Genomic DNA, 19,031 nt, shown 5'->3' on the forward strand with positions numbered 1-19,031 from the left:
GTTCCACATTACCTCAGAACCCTCACTGATCCAGACATGTCTTAGGATATTGTTAGGAGCACAGTATCCCCAAACTGAGGGATATTACTGAAGACTCTTCTCCTCCATGCTGTCTTCCAAACATGACTTTGAGGCTTAAAGGTCAAGGATGAATGTGGAATAACTTTGCCGATTTTTTTTTTTAACAAGGAAGGTATTTGTACAAATAAAATGAATTCAGGCCATTATAATTGACTTAAGTTCAGATCACATTTGGTGGTTCCTATCCCAACTGAGAAGAGTAGAGAGAGTTTTATTCAATGCCACAGAAGTACCTTTTTTTTTTTCCATTGTGAAGCCTGTGGATTTCTTAGGTCTAACAAGGTACCACTGTAGCTTTGAAGATTCCAGGCAGCTATTTAGATTGTACACCCTGCAACTCAGCACATTCTCTCTAGCCCATAGCTGGTATAGCTTCTTAAAAGATCACAGAAACAAAGAACCTGTTTTTGCTTTTTTTTCCCCCTCAGATTTGAAAGCATGTGCACATACCCACTGCCTGTCTCACATCTCTTCTCCCCTACTGGACTTTTTAAAAAAATCTTATTTTTGAATAACATTTTATTTTGAAAAGTTCCAACACATACAAAAATAGACAGAATATTGTAACGAATGCCCATGTACTCATTACTCACTCAAATTGGATAATTATCAACTTACGGCCAATTTTGTTTCATCTATACCCAGTGGTTCTCAACGGAGGGTGATTTTCTCCCTCAGGGAAATTTGTCAATGTCTGGCACCACAATAGGGGAGGGATATTACTGGCATCCAGTGGGTGGAGACAAGGATGCTGCTGAATATTATACAATGACAGGACAGCCCCTACAACAAAGTCCAAAATGTCATTAGTGCTTAGGTCAAAAAATCCTGATCTATAAAAATCCTGATCTATACCTCTACTCATTTCCCTCTCACCTTAGAATTACATAAAGCAAATCCCAGACATCATATTTCTTCTGTGAATATTTCAGCATGTATCTGAAAAATAAGGATTTAAAAAAACATAACCATACTAAAATTATTTCATTTAAAATTAACATTAATTCCTAATATCATTAAATACCTAGTCAGTGTTGTAGAGATATCAAGGAGGAATGTTCAATGACCTAGTCTCAAAAATCACACACCGTCACTGCTGCCATATTCTGTTTGTTACAAGCAAGTGATTAAATTTTGCCCACACTCAAGGTTCCGCTTTTTGAGATGTGAATTGTTAAAGAATCTGTGGACATATTTTTAAACCATCACACTCTTTAAATCTCTTTAAATGTATTGGTTCCCCCTCCCTCTCCCTTTCACCTTGCAACTTATTTGTTAAAAATAAAAATGATTTGTCCAGTAAAGGGTCCCACAGTCTGTTTTTGTTTTGTTTCGTTTTTGCTGATTGGGTCCCACCGATTTGTTTATCATGTTCATCTGTCCTTTCTATTTTTTATTATGAGAACAATCAGATTCAGGTTTGATTTTGTTTATTTGCTTGCTTGCTTGTTTTGGCAAGATTATTTCACAGGCGGTGTTGCCTGCTTCCATTCAGAGGCACATAATATGTAGTTGTCTTGCATTTTGTGCTGCTAGCCATCACTGATGATCATTGCCTGGATTCATTATTTCACTAAGGGTTCCAAAACAATAATGCTTGAATTCTCAAACTCTTTATTCATTTATGAGATAGAATACATCTATAAAGAGAGGCTTCCCTTCATCAATTATTTGTTGCCCTGAGCTATGCATGACTGTATCTTACGTGACTTCTCAAGTAGCCTCTGGTGCCAGAAGTCCTGCTCCATTTAATTTATCATATACAATCCCTAGCCTAACAGTACAAATACATTATCATAGGGATCAGTAAATGGTGAGCATAGTATCATTATAAGAGTATTAATAAGTAACATTTCTGAGTATATCCTATGTCTTGAGTGCTCTGCTGAGCACTTGTGAAGTAGGTGTTTTTATTACTCATATTTTACAGATGAGGAAACTGGAGAATAGAAAGGTTACCCTTGCTCAAGTTCATGTGTCTAAGTGTCAGAAGAAGGATTTGAATCTAGGCACTCTGACTGCAGAGCCCACTCTCTCAACTACTATGATGTCCCGTGGTAACTTAATCATTTGCATAGAGAAGAACAGATATGTGACATCAATTAAGCCCCTTAATGCAGTGAGGTCAAGTGTAAATGGCCTGGACTTTAAGCCCAGAATTATGTGAGAGGAATTCTGTCTCCATTGTTTACTGTGTGACCCCAATAAGCTTCTTAACCTCTTTGAAATTTTCTCACTGGTAAAATATAGATAATAAATTCTACTTGATAGTGTTGTTATGATCATTCAACCTAATAGCCTGTTATGTGTTGGGCATTTAAAAAGTTATAAAAAATGTGTGTGCTCAATAATTAAAAGACAACCAAATTGAAACATGGGCAAAGGACCTAGATAGACATTTCCCTAAAAAGGATATATGAATGGCAAAAAGCACGCAAAAGTATGTCTGAGCATTATTCATTTAGCCATTAGGGAAATGCAAATCAAAACTACAGTGAGACACTACTTCATCCCTACTAGGATGGCTATAATTAAAAAAACAGATAATAAGTGTTGGCAAGGATGTGAAGAAGCTGAAGCCCTTATACACTCCTGGTGGGAATGTAGAATGGTGTAGCTGCTTTGGAAGACGGTTTGACAATCCCCCCAAAATTAAACTTAGTTATTATATGGCCAAGCAATTCTACTCCTAGGTATATATCCAAAAGAAATAAAAACAGCTGGGTGCAGTGGCTCACATCTCTAATCCTAGCACTTTGGGAGGCCGAGGTGGTTGGATCACATGAGATCAGGAGTTCAAGACCGGCCTGGCCAACATGGTGAAATGGTGTCTCTACTGAAAAGACAAAAATTAGTTGGGCATGGTGATGCACACCTGTAATCCCAGGTACTTGGGAGGCTGAGGCAGGAGAATCTCTTGAACCCAGGAGGTGGAGGTTGCAGTGAGCTGAGATTGTGCCATTGCACTCCTGCCTGGGCAACAGAGCAAGACTCCATCTCAAAAAAAATATAATAATAAAATAAAACAAAAACATACACATATATATGTGTGTGTATATATATACATACACACGCACACACACACACACAAACATGTATACCAATGTTCAAAACAGCATTACTCATAATAGCAAAGGCCTATTAACTAATGAATGGAAAAATAAAATTTGATATATCTCTACAATGGAATATTATTTATCCACAAAAAGGAATGAACTCTGATACATGGATGAACTCTGAAAACATGCTAAGTAAAAAATCACAACCACATGTTGTATGATTCCATTTAGATAAAATGTCCAGAGTAAGCAAATCTTTAGAGACTGAAAAACACTGGTGGTTGCCTGGAACTGGAGAGGCTGGGGATGAATGGGGAGTGGTAGCTGCTGGGTACGAGCTTTCTTTGAGTGAGGGAGATGAAAATGTTCCAAAATTAGCTTGTGGTAATGGTTGTACATCCCTGTGAACTGTGAATATACTAAAAAAATTGTACACTTTAAATGGGTGAATTTTATGGCTTGTGAATCTCAATAAAACTATTTAAAAATATCTTTGGGTGTATATACATAAAATTTACCTTATGTAACCTTACCAAAATTTTAGATTGTGATTATTTATGTGTTGGAAAGGTTATCTGAATGTTTATCCTACTGTAAAATGAAGGATATATAAAATTCTACTATACTTTCAGGAAATTGAAATGTATCATCACTTGCTCACGCATATAAATAACATGAGTGTGGATAACATGAGTGATAGCATTGCATCAGACACATAATTAGTGGTGACAGTAGAAGAACACACAGATCCTACTAGTGAACTTTCTAATTGGTATTCGAAGATGCTGGTTATGAACCTAAATTTGGCTCTTAGTTGTGACATAAGCAGGAAATTTGTATTGTTTTGTTTCTTTTGCTATCGTGGTGACCACTGGATCAACTTCAACTGCTCACAGGTTCTCCCAGGGGCTACCAAGGTATCTGCCAGGCCAGCTTCCTCTGATAATGACTTACTTTCCAAAAAGTTTAAAACTAGATTTGCGGTTAAAGGAAAATCCTGTGCCTCCTGAACACAGATTCACATGTTCTTTCTTTATGAGGTGGGCTAGCCTGGGGGAGAAAGAAGGTTTTAGGAATTGAGGGAGAAAGAAAATATTCCACTCATGGCTTGAAGTGGTTGTGGGGTGGGGGGAGATTGTCACTTTGTCACATGGTCATCTCCTTTATCCAGAATCTCCTTTGTAGTTGAAGAACACAGCTTCCCACCATGGCTAAGCCTGTGGTTAGCAGGTGTTTCTAGAGTGAGTTTGGGAGCCTAATTTTGAATAGGAATTTATTATAAAAATTGCTGGTTGTCATCTCTTCTTCATATTTCCACGTTACCATCCTTTTATTTCTTCCCTCTTTTCCCCTTGCCCTCATACAGATTTAAAAAATGTAATATCAAGAATAACTTATTATTAACTTTTTTTTTTTGTAGACACAGGGTCTCATTATGTTACCCAGGCTGGTCTCAAACTCTCAAGCAATCCCCCAGCCTCAGCCTCCTAAAATGTTGGGATTATAGGTGAGAGCCACCACATCCAGCAAGAATAACTTTTAATTGGAAATATATTCTTATGGTACCAAATCCAAAATGATACCAAAAGGAATATAGTGAGAAGTCTCTCTCCTATCCTGAGCTCAGACAACCAGAGTCTCTCACTTTTCCTGGGAACCAACGTTTGCAGATGAATTAAAAAAAAAAAAAAGAAACAGAAAAGAAAATCAAGATAATTTCAGAAGTATCTGCTTTCCCCCTCATTCTTTTGTTCAGTGTTCATCTGTCCTTTCTGGCTTCTCTGCTCCTCAAGGGCTAAAAGAGGCTGTCAATTCTCTCTGCTTAGACAACTGTCCTAGCCTCAGTTCCATGTTGATTTTCAGGTTTTAAAAGGCCTCGTGGGCTGGGCACCATGGTTCATGCCTGTAATCCCAGCACTTTGGAAAGCTGACTTGACCCCAGAAGTTCGATACCAGCCTGGATGGAATCTCCAAAAAATAAATAATAATAAAAAATAGCTAAGTGTGGTGGCTCACGCCTGTAGCCTCAGCTACTCTGGAGGCTGAGATGGGAGGATCACTTCAGCCCAGGTGGTCGAGGCTGCAGTGAACCATGATGGAGGCTCCAGTGAGCCATGATTACTCCACTGCCCTCCAGCTTGGGTGACAGAGCAGGGGGTTGGGGGAAGCTTTGTCACTTCAGCTCAGAAACCCAGCAGCCACTTCTAGGTGGAGATTTACCACACTATAGATCTACACACAGTCTTAATTGTATAAATACATATTATGATTGTGTTTAACATAGCATGTGTATACTTTATACACACATTCATAGGCCAGAAAATACTTTCATTGATTTATTTGGGTGTGAAGTCTTCAACATACAAAAAAAAAAAGATATTTTTGTTTCTTTTGTGACTTTTCCCCTCTCTAATTCGAGTACCAAATTGTTCTTATTATTGCTCCAAGAGAGGATATGTTATTTAGTGTGGGTGTGGGAGGGTAGAGATAAAAAGAAATGTATCCAGGCTCTTCAAGGAAAAGAAAAAAAAGAAGAAGAAAAGGGGGAAATACCCTCTGGGAATCTCAAGAACACCTTTATTTCGCCTTTTAACTCTCCGCCTTTCTGATTAAAGAGTTCAGACCTGCTCCCCGGCCCGCGTTCAATTATTCCCCAGCATCTTTTCTCAGAAGCTGTCACCACCACTTGCGGAACCGCAGCCTCATCGTGAGCCATTAGCCCAGTTGTTTCCCGTTTCGCTTTTCTTTCCTCAGTTTCTCCATGCAATCTTTATAAATCTCCCCTGGAGGAGAAGTGTCCGAGCGGGTGGAAGTCTGAACACAATGCAACCTGAGAATTTCTGTCACTCTCTGCATATGCTCCTAAGTGCTTTAATCCCAATTAGGGGCGGCTGACACACGGTCCTATTCATTCCCATCAGCTCTTGAATACATTTGCCTAGAAATGAACTTCACAAATAGAGGAGCTCCTAAATGTGCCCAACAGCAAGGAAAATCGAATTGAGTGCGGGCTCATTCGGCAGCGGCCGGCAGAGAAGCGCTGAATGTGGAGGTGCCCCGAGACATTGCAATTCAGCAACACGCTCGCTGACTTTTCTTTGCACCATGTCAACCGAAAGAACCAAGAAATAAGTTGGAGAACTCCGGTTAAAAGGCAACTTGAGAGGGATTCTGAATACTTTTATTGAGCCGTTTCCAACGGAGGACTTAAAAAACAACAAAAAAGGCACCACAAAACCCACCAGCGGCGTCCGGGCTGCGTCCTGGCTGCCACTTTGGAGCCTCCCGGCCGCCGCGCATCCACCGGCCATGCAATTAAGGGGAAAATGGCCTCATCGCCGGCGTGTCATCTGGTGGCGTTCCCAGAGCCCATCGCCGCCGCCCTATTCAGACCCGGCCTTAATGTCCCACCCGCGCCTCGGGGGCCGCGCAGCTGGTCCAAGCTGACCCGCCCGCCCGGCCAGCGCGGACACCCTCGGGGGGTGCAGCCCAGGCCACCTCAGGCCAAAATTCGGCTACTGAAAGCGGGGCTTGCAGGACTCTCTCTGCTTTCCCTAACCTCCTTCGCCTCGGGTCTCTGACCCCGCGCGGCTCTCTGCATCCCCGGGTTCAGGACTCCTCCGGCCCCAGTTTTGGGATTCCGCGTTGACCTAGGAGGGAGGGGTGTTTGGTGAGTCACCAGCACCAGGGTCTCCAAGGCTGAGCCCGCCTCCCCAACCCCCGGGACAACTCCCTCGGTCCCCGTGGGGACCTGAAACTCAAGGCCTTTGAGCGACGGTGACGAGCAGCCCCGGAGAAGTGTGGTCTGAAAGAAGCCGCTCATCTCAGCCTCAAAGTCTTAAGGGGCTCCTTTCCTCTAGGCGGAGCCGAGTCAGGTCACACGTGCTCGGCGCCGGCCGCATTCCCAGCTCTTCGCTCATTCGCGACTATGCGCCAGGCGGGGCCGCCCCCTAACGCTGCCGGGTTCGAAAGCCGCCCGCGGGTGGGACTTAGCTCTCCGTAGCCTGCCTCTCGGAGGGCCGGCGGCTGCTGGTGAGCATTCCAGCCTCGTTAGGGCAACCTGTTACCGGAGAGGGAGCCTTGCCCGAACGGTTCTACTGTGGGCAGGGAGCAGGACCGCCCCTAAACCGCCTTTCCCCGCACCTCGGTGTAGGAGAGATTTCGCTTTAACGGAGACTCTGGACGCCCATTTCAAGTCGATAAAAAAAAAAAAAAAGCCGAGTGGAATGTTTTGATTGAGTCTCAACATTGTCTTTGAATAAGGCTGAGACCATGTAATTAATGTGTCTTTTTAATAAGGGACAATACGGCCGTTCAAGCTATTTAATTTCATTTAATTTTCCATCCCATTTGCTGCACAGCCCGCTTTTACTTTTAACACCCAGCCTTTCACGGCCCATCTTGCTCCACTGGGCACATTAGATTGGTTTCACCCTTGCTTTTTAGGGGAAGAAAAATAAAAGAAAATGTGTTCCTTTTCTCCTTTGTGGACAATTTATTTCACTTGGGGAACTTCAACTCTGAGCCACAGGACAGAATAAAACTCGGCGAGCTGGTGTGAATGCCTCTGGCGCAGTCTCTTTCTTCTCGCGGGGCTGGGAACCAGCCACAATTGGCTATATTAATAAATAACTTTCCTCACAGTCGGCCTTTACATGGTCCTATTGATAAAATTGTTCGCGTGTCGTTCACGCTTTTTCACTCATTAAGGAGGGCCAGGGAGGCGCCCCGAACCCAGGCCCAGCGCTCGCCCCTTCCCGCTTGCAGTGCTGGTAATTTAAACTGGGTGTCATCCCAGAGTCGCCAGGCCAGAGGTTAGAGGGACATGTTCATGGCTTAAATTTATTGCCCTGACTCTTCGGAGCGGCTTCCTCTCCTCCTCCCCACCCCCCGGCTTTTGCCATTCATGGGCCGCTGGATCAAAGCCTCCCTCTGCTCTGTTGAGGGCAGTCTTCGCAGCCCTCAGAAGCGCAATTGGAGGCTTCTGAGGAAAAATCAGTGGCAGCTCCCTCAGAAAGTGACCTGGGCATAGTGTGGCTGCACGGTCCCAGAGGCCACAGTGTGTGGCCCTCCAGACCTTTCAAGCGGCTCTTCTCTGCCTCGGCAGCCATGTATACACAGGCCCTGGAGTTGGCCCGAGGCCAGCCTTCCGTGTGTCCTCTCATGGTCTGACTTGAGATGCTTAGACTTGAAACCTTTGGCCTGGCCTGGATTTTCCCATTAGGCAAACAACCAGTTTTGGAGCTTCTAGAATGCACGCACTCTACAGATTGTTGTTACAAACCGAAGTGAACCACGGAGAGGAAGCAAAGGGTCTGTTTGTATCCATCATTCCCATTTTACAGACTGGGAGGCTGAGCCTCCGAAGCAATCCACTAAAGGTTCCCCGAGTCTTGAGTGGGAGAGCACAGGGTGAATGATCCTGAGTGTCCTGGTCCTGCCCAGTGTGGTGAACATAGGTTTCGAGTGAGGGGCACCACACGGAGCTTCTTTGAAGACCCTCCTCAGATAAACTGCTGAGTTGCAGGTGTCGCCACCTTGCGTCCTGCCACCCTTGCTAACCACAATCGCTCCAGCACTTTCAGCCGACAAAGCCTCGAGGAGAAGCTAGCGTGGGCGCTGCTGAGGGCCCTCTGCCCTTTTGTGCAGTGGTTGGGCCTCTGGCGCTAGGCTTGGAAATACACCACCACTCAGGCCTCTCTTGGAAGAACTGCATCGGGCTCCGGTGCTGGCTGCATAGGATTTGGGGAGCTGTGCTCAGAACTAGCAGCACGCGGCAGGTGCCGGCAGAAATCACAAATATCTGATGAACTTGATTACTTGGCTACTATTTATGAAAATAAATGTTCTCACGCCAATTGGAGGCTTCCCTAAAAGAAAACGGGTAGCTCTCCGGTTTAACTCTGAAGTACAACGTCTTGTTAGTTCACAAAGTAGGTGTAAGAAAGAGTTGTCCCAAACGCCCACCTCGCCCCTCTTCTCTACAACCTTTAACAGATTGCGGTGATTTTCGTTTTTGTTTACTGTTTTTTTTTTAATAGAAAAGTCCAGGTTGCTGGTTTTAGGGAAGTTAGTCCAAGGACATCTTCTAGGGGACGTGATCAATAACCCACTGGTAGAACTTCTTCCTCTTCAACCCTGGGCTGCGGACCGGGGCGCAGGATCCCCATTCGAAACTGTTGGTTCTGGGGCTGTTTCCCATTCTCCAGAGAAAGTGCAGGCCCGGGGTGTGCCCGAGAAAAGTGATGAGCAGTTGACCTCCCCTTCTCAACTTGGTCTGGAGGCTTCATCATATTTTCGGACGAAATGGGACAGAAGTGAGAATTAAAGCGGTTCTGAATAGACGACTGGCCTGAACCCAATCCCCTGAAATGGTAATATGGTTGTTATTTAAAAAGTGTAGGTATTTTCTGGTGTTTTCCCATCAAGTACCTGCCTAATTTCTGTATGGCACACGCCAGAAATCAATAGTAGTTAACAAGTCCTCCAAACAGTCTCCATCTCTTTGTTTAATCTCCTTTACAATAAAGCCAAGGGGAGAGAATTAAAAATCTTTGAAGTAGATCAAGGCTCAAAGGAATCAGCCAAGTAGACTTAAAGTAGTCACTTATTTCCCAAAACTGGTTTGTCGGGGAACAATAAAAGGAAGTAAAATTTATGGAGAAATTATACAGTGGATTTGTCACTTAAAATATCGTAACTGTCTGGAGGACAATACCCCATGCTGAGGATTAATGGTCCCGCCGGACCTTTGATTCACCAGTGCCTTTTCTTCGCCCTTGACAAATTGGATTTTTAGGAATGGGAAGGTCGCCTGGACCATTGTGTGCTAGCCATTCAGCGGCCTCGATTATGCAGGGGGCTGAGGGAACCACTCCATGTGACCCTCTCGGGTGGGACTCTGCAGCTGCTTCGCAGCGCAACTCTCTCACCAAACTCCGCGCCCTTGCGCTAGCGGTGCCAAAAGGCTCCCGCCCCGATTGAAAAGGCGCAGTGCATGCCCGCCCGCGTCACTCCGCGGGCGGAGGACGCACGTCGGGGCGCGGCTCTCTGGCTAGCGCGCAGCTCCAGCTCTGTCACTCGCGCCCTTCCAAGGACCTGGAGCACCCGAGCGCCTGCCTGGTGGCGGCGGCAACAATGCACGGAGCCGCCAGAGCGCCAGCCACCAGCGTGAGTGCCGACTGCTGCATCCCGGCCGGCTTGCGCCTCGGACCGGTGCCTGGTACCTTCAAGCTGGGCAAGTACCTGTCAGACCGCAGGGAGCCCGGGCCTAAGAAAAAGGTATTGACCATTCAGACCTCTGCCCACTGCCATTCGCCTCTCAGTGCCCTGACCCGGGAAAGGGGTACGAGAGAAAGTGGAGGAAGGGAGTGATTGAGTCGTTACCTGCTAATTCTGCCGGGTGGAAGGGGACTCCTATTATTCTGAGCAAGTAGCCTCTTTAACTGTGAGAGCTGGACGGGGTCGGGCTGAGAGGAGAGGATGTGGCCGAGAGGCGACAGCCCTGGGTGGGGTGCACTGAGCGCTGTAGGTGCCGGGACCATTCGCAGCTTGTGTTTTCCCCTGCGCTCTCGGGTCTCCTCAGTCAGAAGCCAGAAGCCCACCCCCGCACGCTGTCCGCAGCTCTCTCTGCAAAAGCACCCTCTTTCTGGGGGCTCAGGGCATCGAGACCCTTTCTTCCCTTCTGCCCTTCAATATGTTAATTTGAGGCCTAATTTCGCCTTAAAGTAATTTTTTTTCCTGAAAAAAAAAATCTTTGGGAGGCTCTCAGTTCCTAGAACCTCCTCAGATATTTTTTTTTCCCTTGCCGATGTCGGCTTGTGGGTATGCGGCATATGGAGAGAGGATGAGCAAGGTACTGGCTCTGACGCGGGCTCCAAGGGCGAGGCGCGCCCATTCGCGCGGGGCACAGGGTCAGAGCGTCTGCAGCGGGGCTCTGAGAGTCCAGAGGCCCAACCGGGAGGCGCCAGGGCCAAACCACTAGCTTTGACTCCCACACTCCACACACCGTCGCGACCCCTGACCAGAGAGACTTATAGCACTCGCCCGCTTTGGGGGCGTCCCAGGAGCCAAAGGTCGGCAAACAGCGACCGGGAAATGAAGGCAGAAGTCTGGGGTAGAAGAAAGGACTTTGGCTTCCTTGGCTTTAGCTTGCCTTGCTTGGAGCTTTCTAGTAAAAAGCTCCGGTGTCCAGCCAGCGGGACTTGCACCTCGCTCCTCCTGCAATCACGCCCCCCACTACAGTCTAAAGCGGGGTTTGGTGCCCACCGCGCATTCCTCTTTAAACGCGTTTTAATTGCTTTTAAATGGCCTGCCAGCTGCGGGCAAGCTTTTCCCCGCTTGGGCTTTGTTCCGAGACTTTAGCTGCAGGGCTCACAGGCAACTAGGTGCGATGCACACAGAATACAGGAGGCATGAGATAATTTTTTTGTTTGTTTGTCGGGGGTACGCTCTGGGCCCTGGGACTGACCTAGAAATGTCTCTACCGTGGTGTTACGGCTGCTCTCAGAACTGCAAATGGGAGAGCTGGGGTAGGGGACAACTTGGTACAAGATGTGCCTAAGCACTCAGGGAGGATGCTCTCAACACCCCTCTCCCCTCCCCGTGTCGTCAAGGTGGGGCGCAGGGAAGTGGGAGTACTGTTAGCATAGGTAGACTTTCCTCTTTCTCCCTCCCCGAAGCAAGGTCCTAAGGAATTCTCCTCCTCCCAGTAGCCCATAGTGGTCTGGCCAAACCAAAAACAACCACTTTCCTGTGTTGGGTTGGGGTGGAGGATAAACTTTCTGTTTGGGTTGTGGGCCTGGCCAAGGTGCGGGGGAGAACGACCACTGCTTGTGTTGCAGGTGCGCATGGTGAGAGGGGAGCTGGTGGACGAGTCGGGGGGCTCCCCTCTGGAGTGGATAGGGTTAATCCGGGCAGCCAGAAACTCCCAGGAACAGACTCTGGAAGCTATTGCAGACTTACCCGGAGGACAGGTACTGCGGGCTTCTCTCCACACCCCCCCACTCCCCACCGCCAATTCAGTCTACCTAACCGTCCCTGCGGTGGCCAAAAATATTAAGAGCAAAGTACTTTAGCTAGACGTCTCATTTAAACGTCTCGACAACCCTTTAAGGTAGTTACTATTGTTTTTCCGTTTGAAGGATGACGGAAGTGAGGTTCAGAGAGCTCCAGTAGCTTCTCCAGGGTCACACAGCATCAGAATCCGGATTTGAACCTTTCTTCTCAGTTGCTTTTTGACCGATTACCCAGGAAATGACATTGAACTGTTCTATTCCTTGCGTCCCAGATCTTCTACCGAGCATTGCGAGACGTCCAGCCAGGGGAGGAGCTGACAGTGTGGTATTCTAACTCCTTGGCTCAGTGGTTCGACATCCCCACCACAGCGACTCCGACTCACGACGAGAAAGGTACCCATTCCAAAAGCGTGGATGGGCAAAAGTCCAGCCCTCCTCCTCCTGTCTTGAAGCGAGTCCCTAGACATAGCTCGATCTATGTAAAATGGAATTCACATTCCCTGTATTTCAAGGCAAAGAGGAGAGAGGTCGCCACTACCTCCTTAAAATCAACCATAAACGATAACAGTGATAGTAGCAATCTGGCTCACAATGGCAGGGGAAAAAGTAGGCTCTATGAACTTAATGGGGCCATCCTTTTTCTGTTGCATATTCAAACAGACCATTATTTACTCAATTAAAATAAAAAAAATTAGGCGCGGTAGCTCACACCTGTAATCCCAGCACTTTGGGAGGCCGAGGTAGGAGGATCACTTGAGGCTAGGAGTTCGAGACCAGCCTGGGCAACATAGTGAGACCTCTGTCTCTACAACAAAAAAATAATTAGCCAGGTGCGGCGGTACATGCCTGTAGTCTTAGCTACTCAGGATGCTGAGGCAAGAGGATCACTTGAGCCCAGGAGGTCAAGGTTCCAGTGAGCCGTAATGTTACCACTGCATGCCAGCCTGGGTGACAAGTGAGACCCTGTCTCAAAATAAATAAATAAAAATAAAAAATAAAAAAGGAGCCTTAAGTTGTTGTTACAGTAATTACATCATGAGTTCCACAGAGTATAACTCAAACCTGGAATGCTTTTACAAAGTCCATGGACATTTCTTCTCCACTGGCTTTCCAGGAGAGCAGTGCATTTCTACAGCATTTTAGAAGTATTACGGTACTTACAGCTGGTCAGTTGGCAGGTACTGAGACCCTTCCATTTAAGTGGCATTTATTCATTTCCCCTTGCCTACTTAAGTTGAATCTGGGATGTATCCCAGTTTCTTCTCAGATTTATTTGATCCCTTCAAAGCCAAGAGCGGATTTATGCAAATTAAGGTGCAGTAACTAAACAGAAAAACATTTTTAAACCTACCCTTGAACACTGAAGAACACTTCCTGTGGAAAGAAGTCTAGGAGGTGCTAGAATAGTTGAGGTTTTGGAGACTTCCTTTTCACACACAAAGCTTCCATGGCTTTTTTTCTTTGACAATTGTCTGTAATTTCTCCTAAAGACACATTTAACATCAAAATAATGAATGCTGTGAAATATTCTAACATGCTGTCTTCCTGAATTGCCTGCTCAATCTCATCCCTTTAGAAATAGGTTTAGAGAAATCAATACAAGTATGTGAATTAGGAAACACTTCATGAATAACACAGAATGAAGTTTATTCAAAACAATGAATCACTTTAAAGTATCATCGTCCTCTGTAAGTTAATTCTGTTTATTTTGTAGGTATAGTATTCAAATTATCCTAAAATAGTTTGTTCCTTGCATCACATTATATTACATTCTCTTGTCAACTTCTTCCAGTAAAAAGAGAAGTATAATAAAAGCCACATAGTGGAGAACTCTCAAATCTGCCACTATAGAATTTGGCGGGCCACTAACCTTTAGAAGCCAGCCATTTCTACAGAGAACACCCTTTCTTAGGTAGTCCCAAATAGTACAAAAGCAACTGGAATAGCGGTCCTTGTGTTTTCCTTTCAGCCAATTGAGCTTATAAACATCATATGGTAACAGATGTCAAAATAAACATTTTTTTTTTCTGGAGGTGAGAAGGCATGGGTGATTTTGAACCCTGACTTCCCCAGCTTGGAGAAGTTTGAACTCTTGACCACCTTAGAGTTACATGAAGAGGAGGCAGTCACTTGTTAAATGTATTTGATACTCTTGGCATGATTTGGATCTCAGAGTCTGGAGAATATGTCAGTTAGGATAACTGAAAAAAAGTATATATTAAACGTATGCTGCTTAAAGCTTGGAAAGAGGAAGAAATAAATAGGGATGGCTGCTATCCTCCTAATACTAGCTAACTTCAGTGGGTTTCAATTTCATAGTAAGATGGAGGAAAATACTGCCCCCTCATTTTAAGAAAAAAGCTTATGTGGCTTTGCATTGAGCTGAGTCATTCTGCGGCAGACTCTGAAAACTCCCTCTTTCAAAAGGGGTGATGAGAGAGAGAAAGGCTCTGAAGTTAGAAGGAAGTTATTTAAGACAACATACCCACCAAGAGAACCCAGGAGGTCTATTCTCTCTTTTTTTCACGATTCATTTTACATGAATGTTCAGTACAAGGTAACAGAATATTGAAATGGTTTTATCTAAGACTTCTATAAACGATTAGGGTAGGGTGTCATAGGCAAATACTCTTCTCCCATTTTTCTTTCTGCTCTCCTTGGACTCAGTTGGAATGCAGTGCTTATCACTTGAGTTTTCACAGGTCTTATGGGGTAGGGGTGGGAGCTACTTGTGTTATGCAAACCCAGAAGTTAATATACATAAAGGGAAGAAGATCTGGAATTCTTCCCTATTGTTATTTCTGTAGTAATATTTCAGAAGTTTGAGCTGCTCATATATGCAGAGGGAGAATTTAACTTTCCTGTTAAATTTTATGAGACTGATGTATATTTTGGATATTTCCTTGCGGTTCAACTAACTTCTTTCTCAGACATCTTTCCCTTCAGTATTATCAATCAACCACATTTTAAAAGAAACCCAACTGCAAGATCATTTCTCTCTACAGCAGTAATATGACCCTTTTAAGTGGAAATTAACTTCTAGTATGTGATCAGAATGTCTCATATATGTGTCTCTTGATTGTGTTCACAAACTCGGGCAAAATGAATAAACTAATGCTAATAATACTAAACACATAAAAAGATTTCACACCAAACACGTATATAGTGCCCGGTAGAGAATTCTGCACTTATTAAAAGCTGAGTATCTATATTTATTTATCGATCTATATCATTTATATATATTCATATAATAAAAAACTAATATATTTTCTCCAAAGACTTTACTAAGCTTGGATTTGTGCAGCTATCTAGGAGTTAATTAATTACCAAGTGGCAGACAAGACAAGACAATGCAACATCATCCTTCTTAGATTATCATCACCCTTTTTAGAGTATCAGGGCATAAGAATTTTTTCTTTTCTCCCAGCAAATTAAATGGTGTTAAAGAGGAAATAAAGATACAAATAATTTTGAAGAATGGCAAATCATAGTCCCTATGTGGTCCTTCAGTTGGTCACGCTCCAGGAAAACCTCAGGCAAAGTGTTTAAGGCTGGAAGGGGGTGGAATGGGTGGGTAGGGGACACAAAAGACATTGTCCTGTGAAAAGGAATGATTACATATGGCCTATACATACAGGATATTGTCTCGCCTGGTAATGAGGCGCTCACGACCATTAGATTGGTCTTTGTTCAGCTTATCCAAACTCCTTGACATACGCCACCTATTCTGCAAACGCCAACAGATGGGCCCAGGCACTGCACAGCCTCAACACTTGATTTAAAGCAACAGCTGCTCTTTGCTCTTACACGGCCAGCCTGCCTGAGTGCTGCCCTTCCAACGAAGATTTTGCTCGGATGGCCTGGAGGAAGTCTTCGTTGGAAAGGCCCCGTCACCTTTTTTGGCCTCCGAGTAGTCCCAGAGGATGGAGACACTGATAAGGATTGGCCATTTGGGGCTTTTCGGGGTCCTCGATACAGTAGGGCTACCGAACTTATATTTCACCCTCTCCCCACACCGCTAGTCGAAACTTGGGCTTTGCCTTGGGTGCACTGGCGCTTTCTTTATGTCTCGCTTGTTCGCCTCTCACCGGGTCGCTTTTCCATTCTTTCTTGCCCAGGGGAGGAGCGCTACATCTGCTGGTACTGCTGGAGGACGTTTAGATACCCCAACAGCCTTAAGGCACACCTGCGTTTCCACTGCGTGTTCAGCGGCGGTGGAGGCGGCGCCTTCCTGCACCACGAACACGCGGCTCGCCAAGGCGCCGTCCCAGCGGCTGATGGCCTCGGTCTCTCCCCAAAACCCCCGGCGCCCGATTTCGCCGCGCCTTCCCAGGCAGGAACTTTGCGACCCCACCCCCTGGGCCCGCCACCAGTTCAGGCCTGCGGTGCGCGGGAGGGCATCAAGCGCGAGGCCTCTTCCGCGCCCTCGGCCACCTCGCCGACCCCAGGCAAGTGGGGGCAGCCCAAGAAGGGCAAGGAGCAGCTGGACCGTGCCCTGGACATGAGCGGAGCCGCCCGAGGACAAGGGCACTTCCTCGGCATCGTGGGCGGCTCCTCGGCGGGGGTCGGCAGCCTGGCTTTCTACCCCGGCGTGCGCTCAGCTTTCAAGCCCGCCGGCCTAGCGAGGGCGGCGGCGGCCGCTCACGGCGACCCCTACCGGGAGGAGAGCAGCAGCAAGCAAGGAGCCGGCCTCGCTTTGGGCAGGCTGCTGGGCGGGGGCCGGGCGTGCGGGCGCCCCGGGAGCGGGGAGAACTCGGCGGCGGGCGGCGCGGGTCACCACCATCACCACCACGCGCACCACCACCACCATCCCAAGTGCCTGCTCGCTGGGGACCCGCCGCCGCCGCCGCCGCCTGGCCTGCCCTGCTCTGGGGCCCTGCGCGGCTTCCCTCTGCTCTCCGTCCCCCCGGAAGAGGCGTCCGCCTTCAAGCACGTGGAGCGCGCCCCGCCCGCAGCCGCCGCGCTGCCAGGAGCGCGTTATGCGCAGCTGCCCCCTGCGCCGGGGTTGCCCCTCGAGCGCTGCGCGCTGCCGCCCCTCGACCCGGGCGGTCTCAAAGCCTATCCGGGTGGTGAGTGCAGCCACCTGCCCGCCGTCATGCCGGCCTTTACAGTCTACAACGGGGAGCTGCTCTACGGCTCACCGGCCACCACCGCTTATTACCCGCTCAAATTGCACTTCGGCGGGCTGCTGAAGTATCCGGAGTCCATCTCCTACTTCAGCGGGCCTGCAGCGGCCGCCCTAAGCCCCGCCGAGCTGGGGTCGCTGGCCAGCATCGACCGAGAGATCGCCATGCACAATCAGCAGCTGTCCGAGATGGCTGCCGGGAAGGGTCGCGGACGCCTGGACTCGGGGACGTTGCCACCGGCCGTCGCGGCGGCGGGAGGCACCGGGGGCGGCGGCAGCGGAGGCAGCGGCGCAGGTAAGCCCAAGACCGGCCACCTGTGCCTCTACTGTGGCAAGCTGTACTCGCGCAAGTATGGGCTCAAGATCCACATGCGGACGCACACGGGCTACAAGCCACTCAAGTGCAAAGTCTGTCTGCGGCCCTTCGGCGACCCCAGCAATCTCAACAAGCACATCCGGCTGCACGCCGAGGGCAATACGCCCTACCGCTGCGAGTTCTGCGGCAAGGTACTTGTGCGCCGCCGGGACCTGGAGCGACATGTCAAGTCCCGCCACCCTGGCCAGAGTCTGCTCGCCAAAGCGGGCGACGGCCCGGGTGCCGAGCCCGGCTATCCCCCGGAGCCTGGGGATCCCAAGAGCGACGACAGTGACGTGGACGTCTGCTTCACAGACGACCAGAGCGACCCCGAGGTTGGGGGCGGCGGGGAGCGCGACTTGTAACGAGTCTTCCCGGGAAGGGGCGGGGTGAGGACAGAGAGGAGTCGAGGGTTTATTCTCGCAGTAGAGGAACTCCTGGTGGTGGGAAGAGGGACCCAATGGACAAAACCGTTTTTGTTTTTGAGAGGGCGCCAGATTTGAAACAGTGAGAGGTCCCACATCTGGTGCTGAAACTCAGAGCAACAGTTCAGAGGTGGCGTAAATCTGGCCACCTGGAGAGCTCGAGTGCCACCAGTACCTCCGCACCCCGGGCCTCTGGACTTCTTGGATGAGCTCACCCTGAACCGCCCAGGCGGTCTGCTCTTGGTGTTCAGAATCACATCAATGCGAACGTCACAGCGCCTTCGAGGGCGCAGATTTTAACTGCCACGTATTTTTAAGTTGTACTTTTCTGTGGAGGAAATTGTGCCTTTTGAAACGACGTTTTGTGTGTGTATTTCACGTTAGCATTTCATTGCATAGGCAAAACACTAGTCACAATTGGGTAGATGTGACATCCATATACTTGTTTACATTTTATCTGTTCTCATGTCAAAGACTACTCCTTGCCCCATTGAATATATAGTGGTAGCAGGTGTACAAATTGGTCAAGTTGCAATTATTTATGAGAAAATAATGATAAATGTAAAATATCTAAAGCATGAATCTAAGAGCACGCAATATATAATTTTAAAGAAAATATTCTATTTGGTAGAATACAAATGTGGTGTGTGTTGTTTTATAATGACTGCTGTACAGTGGGTATAGTATTTTGGTTTTGGTTCCAGATTGTGCAATCTTTAAGAAAAATAAAGATACAAACGAGAGTTTTGTTCACTTAGTGATTTCAGCAGATATTTTAAAGAAGTAGTTTAATTTGAAAACAATTTGCGAGGAGACTGCATAATAAAATAAATCATTGGAGACTTGAATACTTTGAGTATTCATAAAATAATGTTAAGCAGTGTTGTATTATAACAGGGAAATATACCATTTTCAATATGTGCATTTCACAGGCTCCCAAACATCAGGCAAAACAATTGTTTCCTAAAA

General features: G+C 47.1%; 1 protein-coding gene across 1 annotated transcript, besides 5 other annotated features; it reads left to right on the forward strand.

The window, feature by feature from the left end:
- Positions 6,671–6,730: a silencer, noted in NCBI's record as "silent region_17421". NCBI's record gives its function as "represses an Ori minimal core promoter by ATAC-STARR-seq in GM12878 lymphoblastoid cells {active_cell/tissue: GM12878}" and the evidence as "EXISTENCE:reporter gene assay evidence [ECO:0000049][PMID:35858748]".
- Positions 6,796–7,635: an enhancer, noted in NCBI's record as "H3K4me1 hESC enhancer chr6:100051429-100052268 (GRCh37/hg19 assembly coordinates)". NCBI's record gives its function as "activates a minimal SCP1, AML or CMV promoter by ChIP-STARR-seq in naive H9 embryonic stem cells {active_cell/tissue: H9 hESC(naive)}" and the evidence as "EXISTENCE:reporter gene assay evidence [ECO:0000049][PMID:30033119]".
- On the forward strand, positions 10,076–18,805 carry PRDM13 (PR/SET domain 13). Its single transcript, NM_021620.4, has 4 exons — positions 10,076–10,421; positions 11,984–12,115; positions 12,430–12,550; positions 16,276–18,805. Exons 1-4 carry the CDS (start codon positions 10,278–10,280, stop codon positions 18,000–18,002), a joined length of 2,124 nt encoding a protein of 707 aa, NP_067633.2. The 5' UTR covers positions 10,076–10,277; the 3' UTR covers positions 18,003–18,805.
- Positions 16,831–17,050: a silencer, noted in NCBI's record as "silent region_17422". NCBI's record gives its function as "represses an Ori minimal core promoter by ATAC-STARR-seq in GM12878 lymphoblastoid cells {active_cell/tissue: GM12878}" and the evidence as "EXISTENCE:reporter gene assay evidence [ECO:0000049][PMID:35858748]".
- Positions 17,217–17,765: an enhancer, noted in NCBI's record as "H3K4me1 hESC enhancer chr6:100061850-100062398 (GRCh37/hg19 assembly coordinates)". NCBI's record gives its function as "activates a minimal SCP1, AML or CMV promoter by ChIP-STARR-seq in naive H9 embryonic stem cells {active_cell/tissue: H9 hESC(naive)}" and the evidence as "EXISTENCE:reporter gene assay evidence [ECO:0000049][PMID:30033119]".
- Positions 17,761–17,810: a silencer, noted in NCBI's record as "silent region_17423". NCBI's record gives its function as "represses an Ori minimal core promoter by ATAC-STARR-seq in GM12878 lymphoblastoid cells {active_cell/tissue: GM12878}" and the evidence as "EXISTENCE:reporter gene assay evidence [ECO:0000049][PMID:35858748]".
- Positions 18,806–19,031: the final 226 nt, after the last annotated feature.

The sequence above is a fragment of the Homo sapiens genome, chromosome 6 (genome assembly GCF_000001405.40).
Source record: "Homo sapiens chromosome 6, GRCh38.p14 Primary Assembly".
Lineage (NCBI taxonomy): Eukaryota > Metazoa > Chordata > Mammalia > Primates > Hominidae > Homo > Homo sapiens.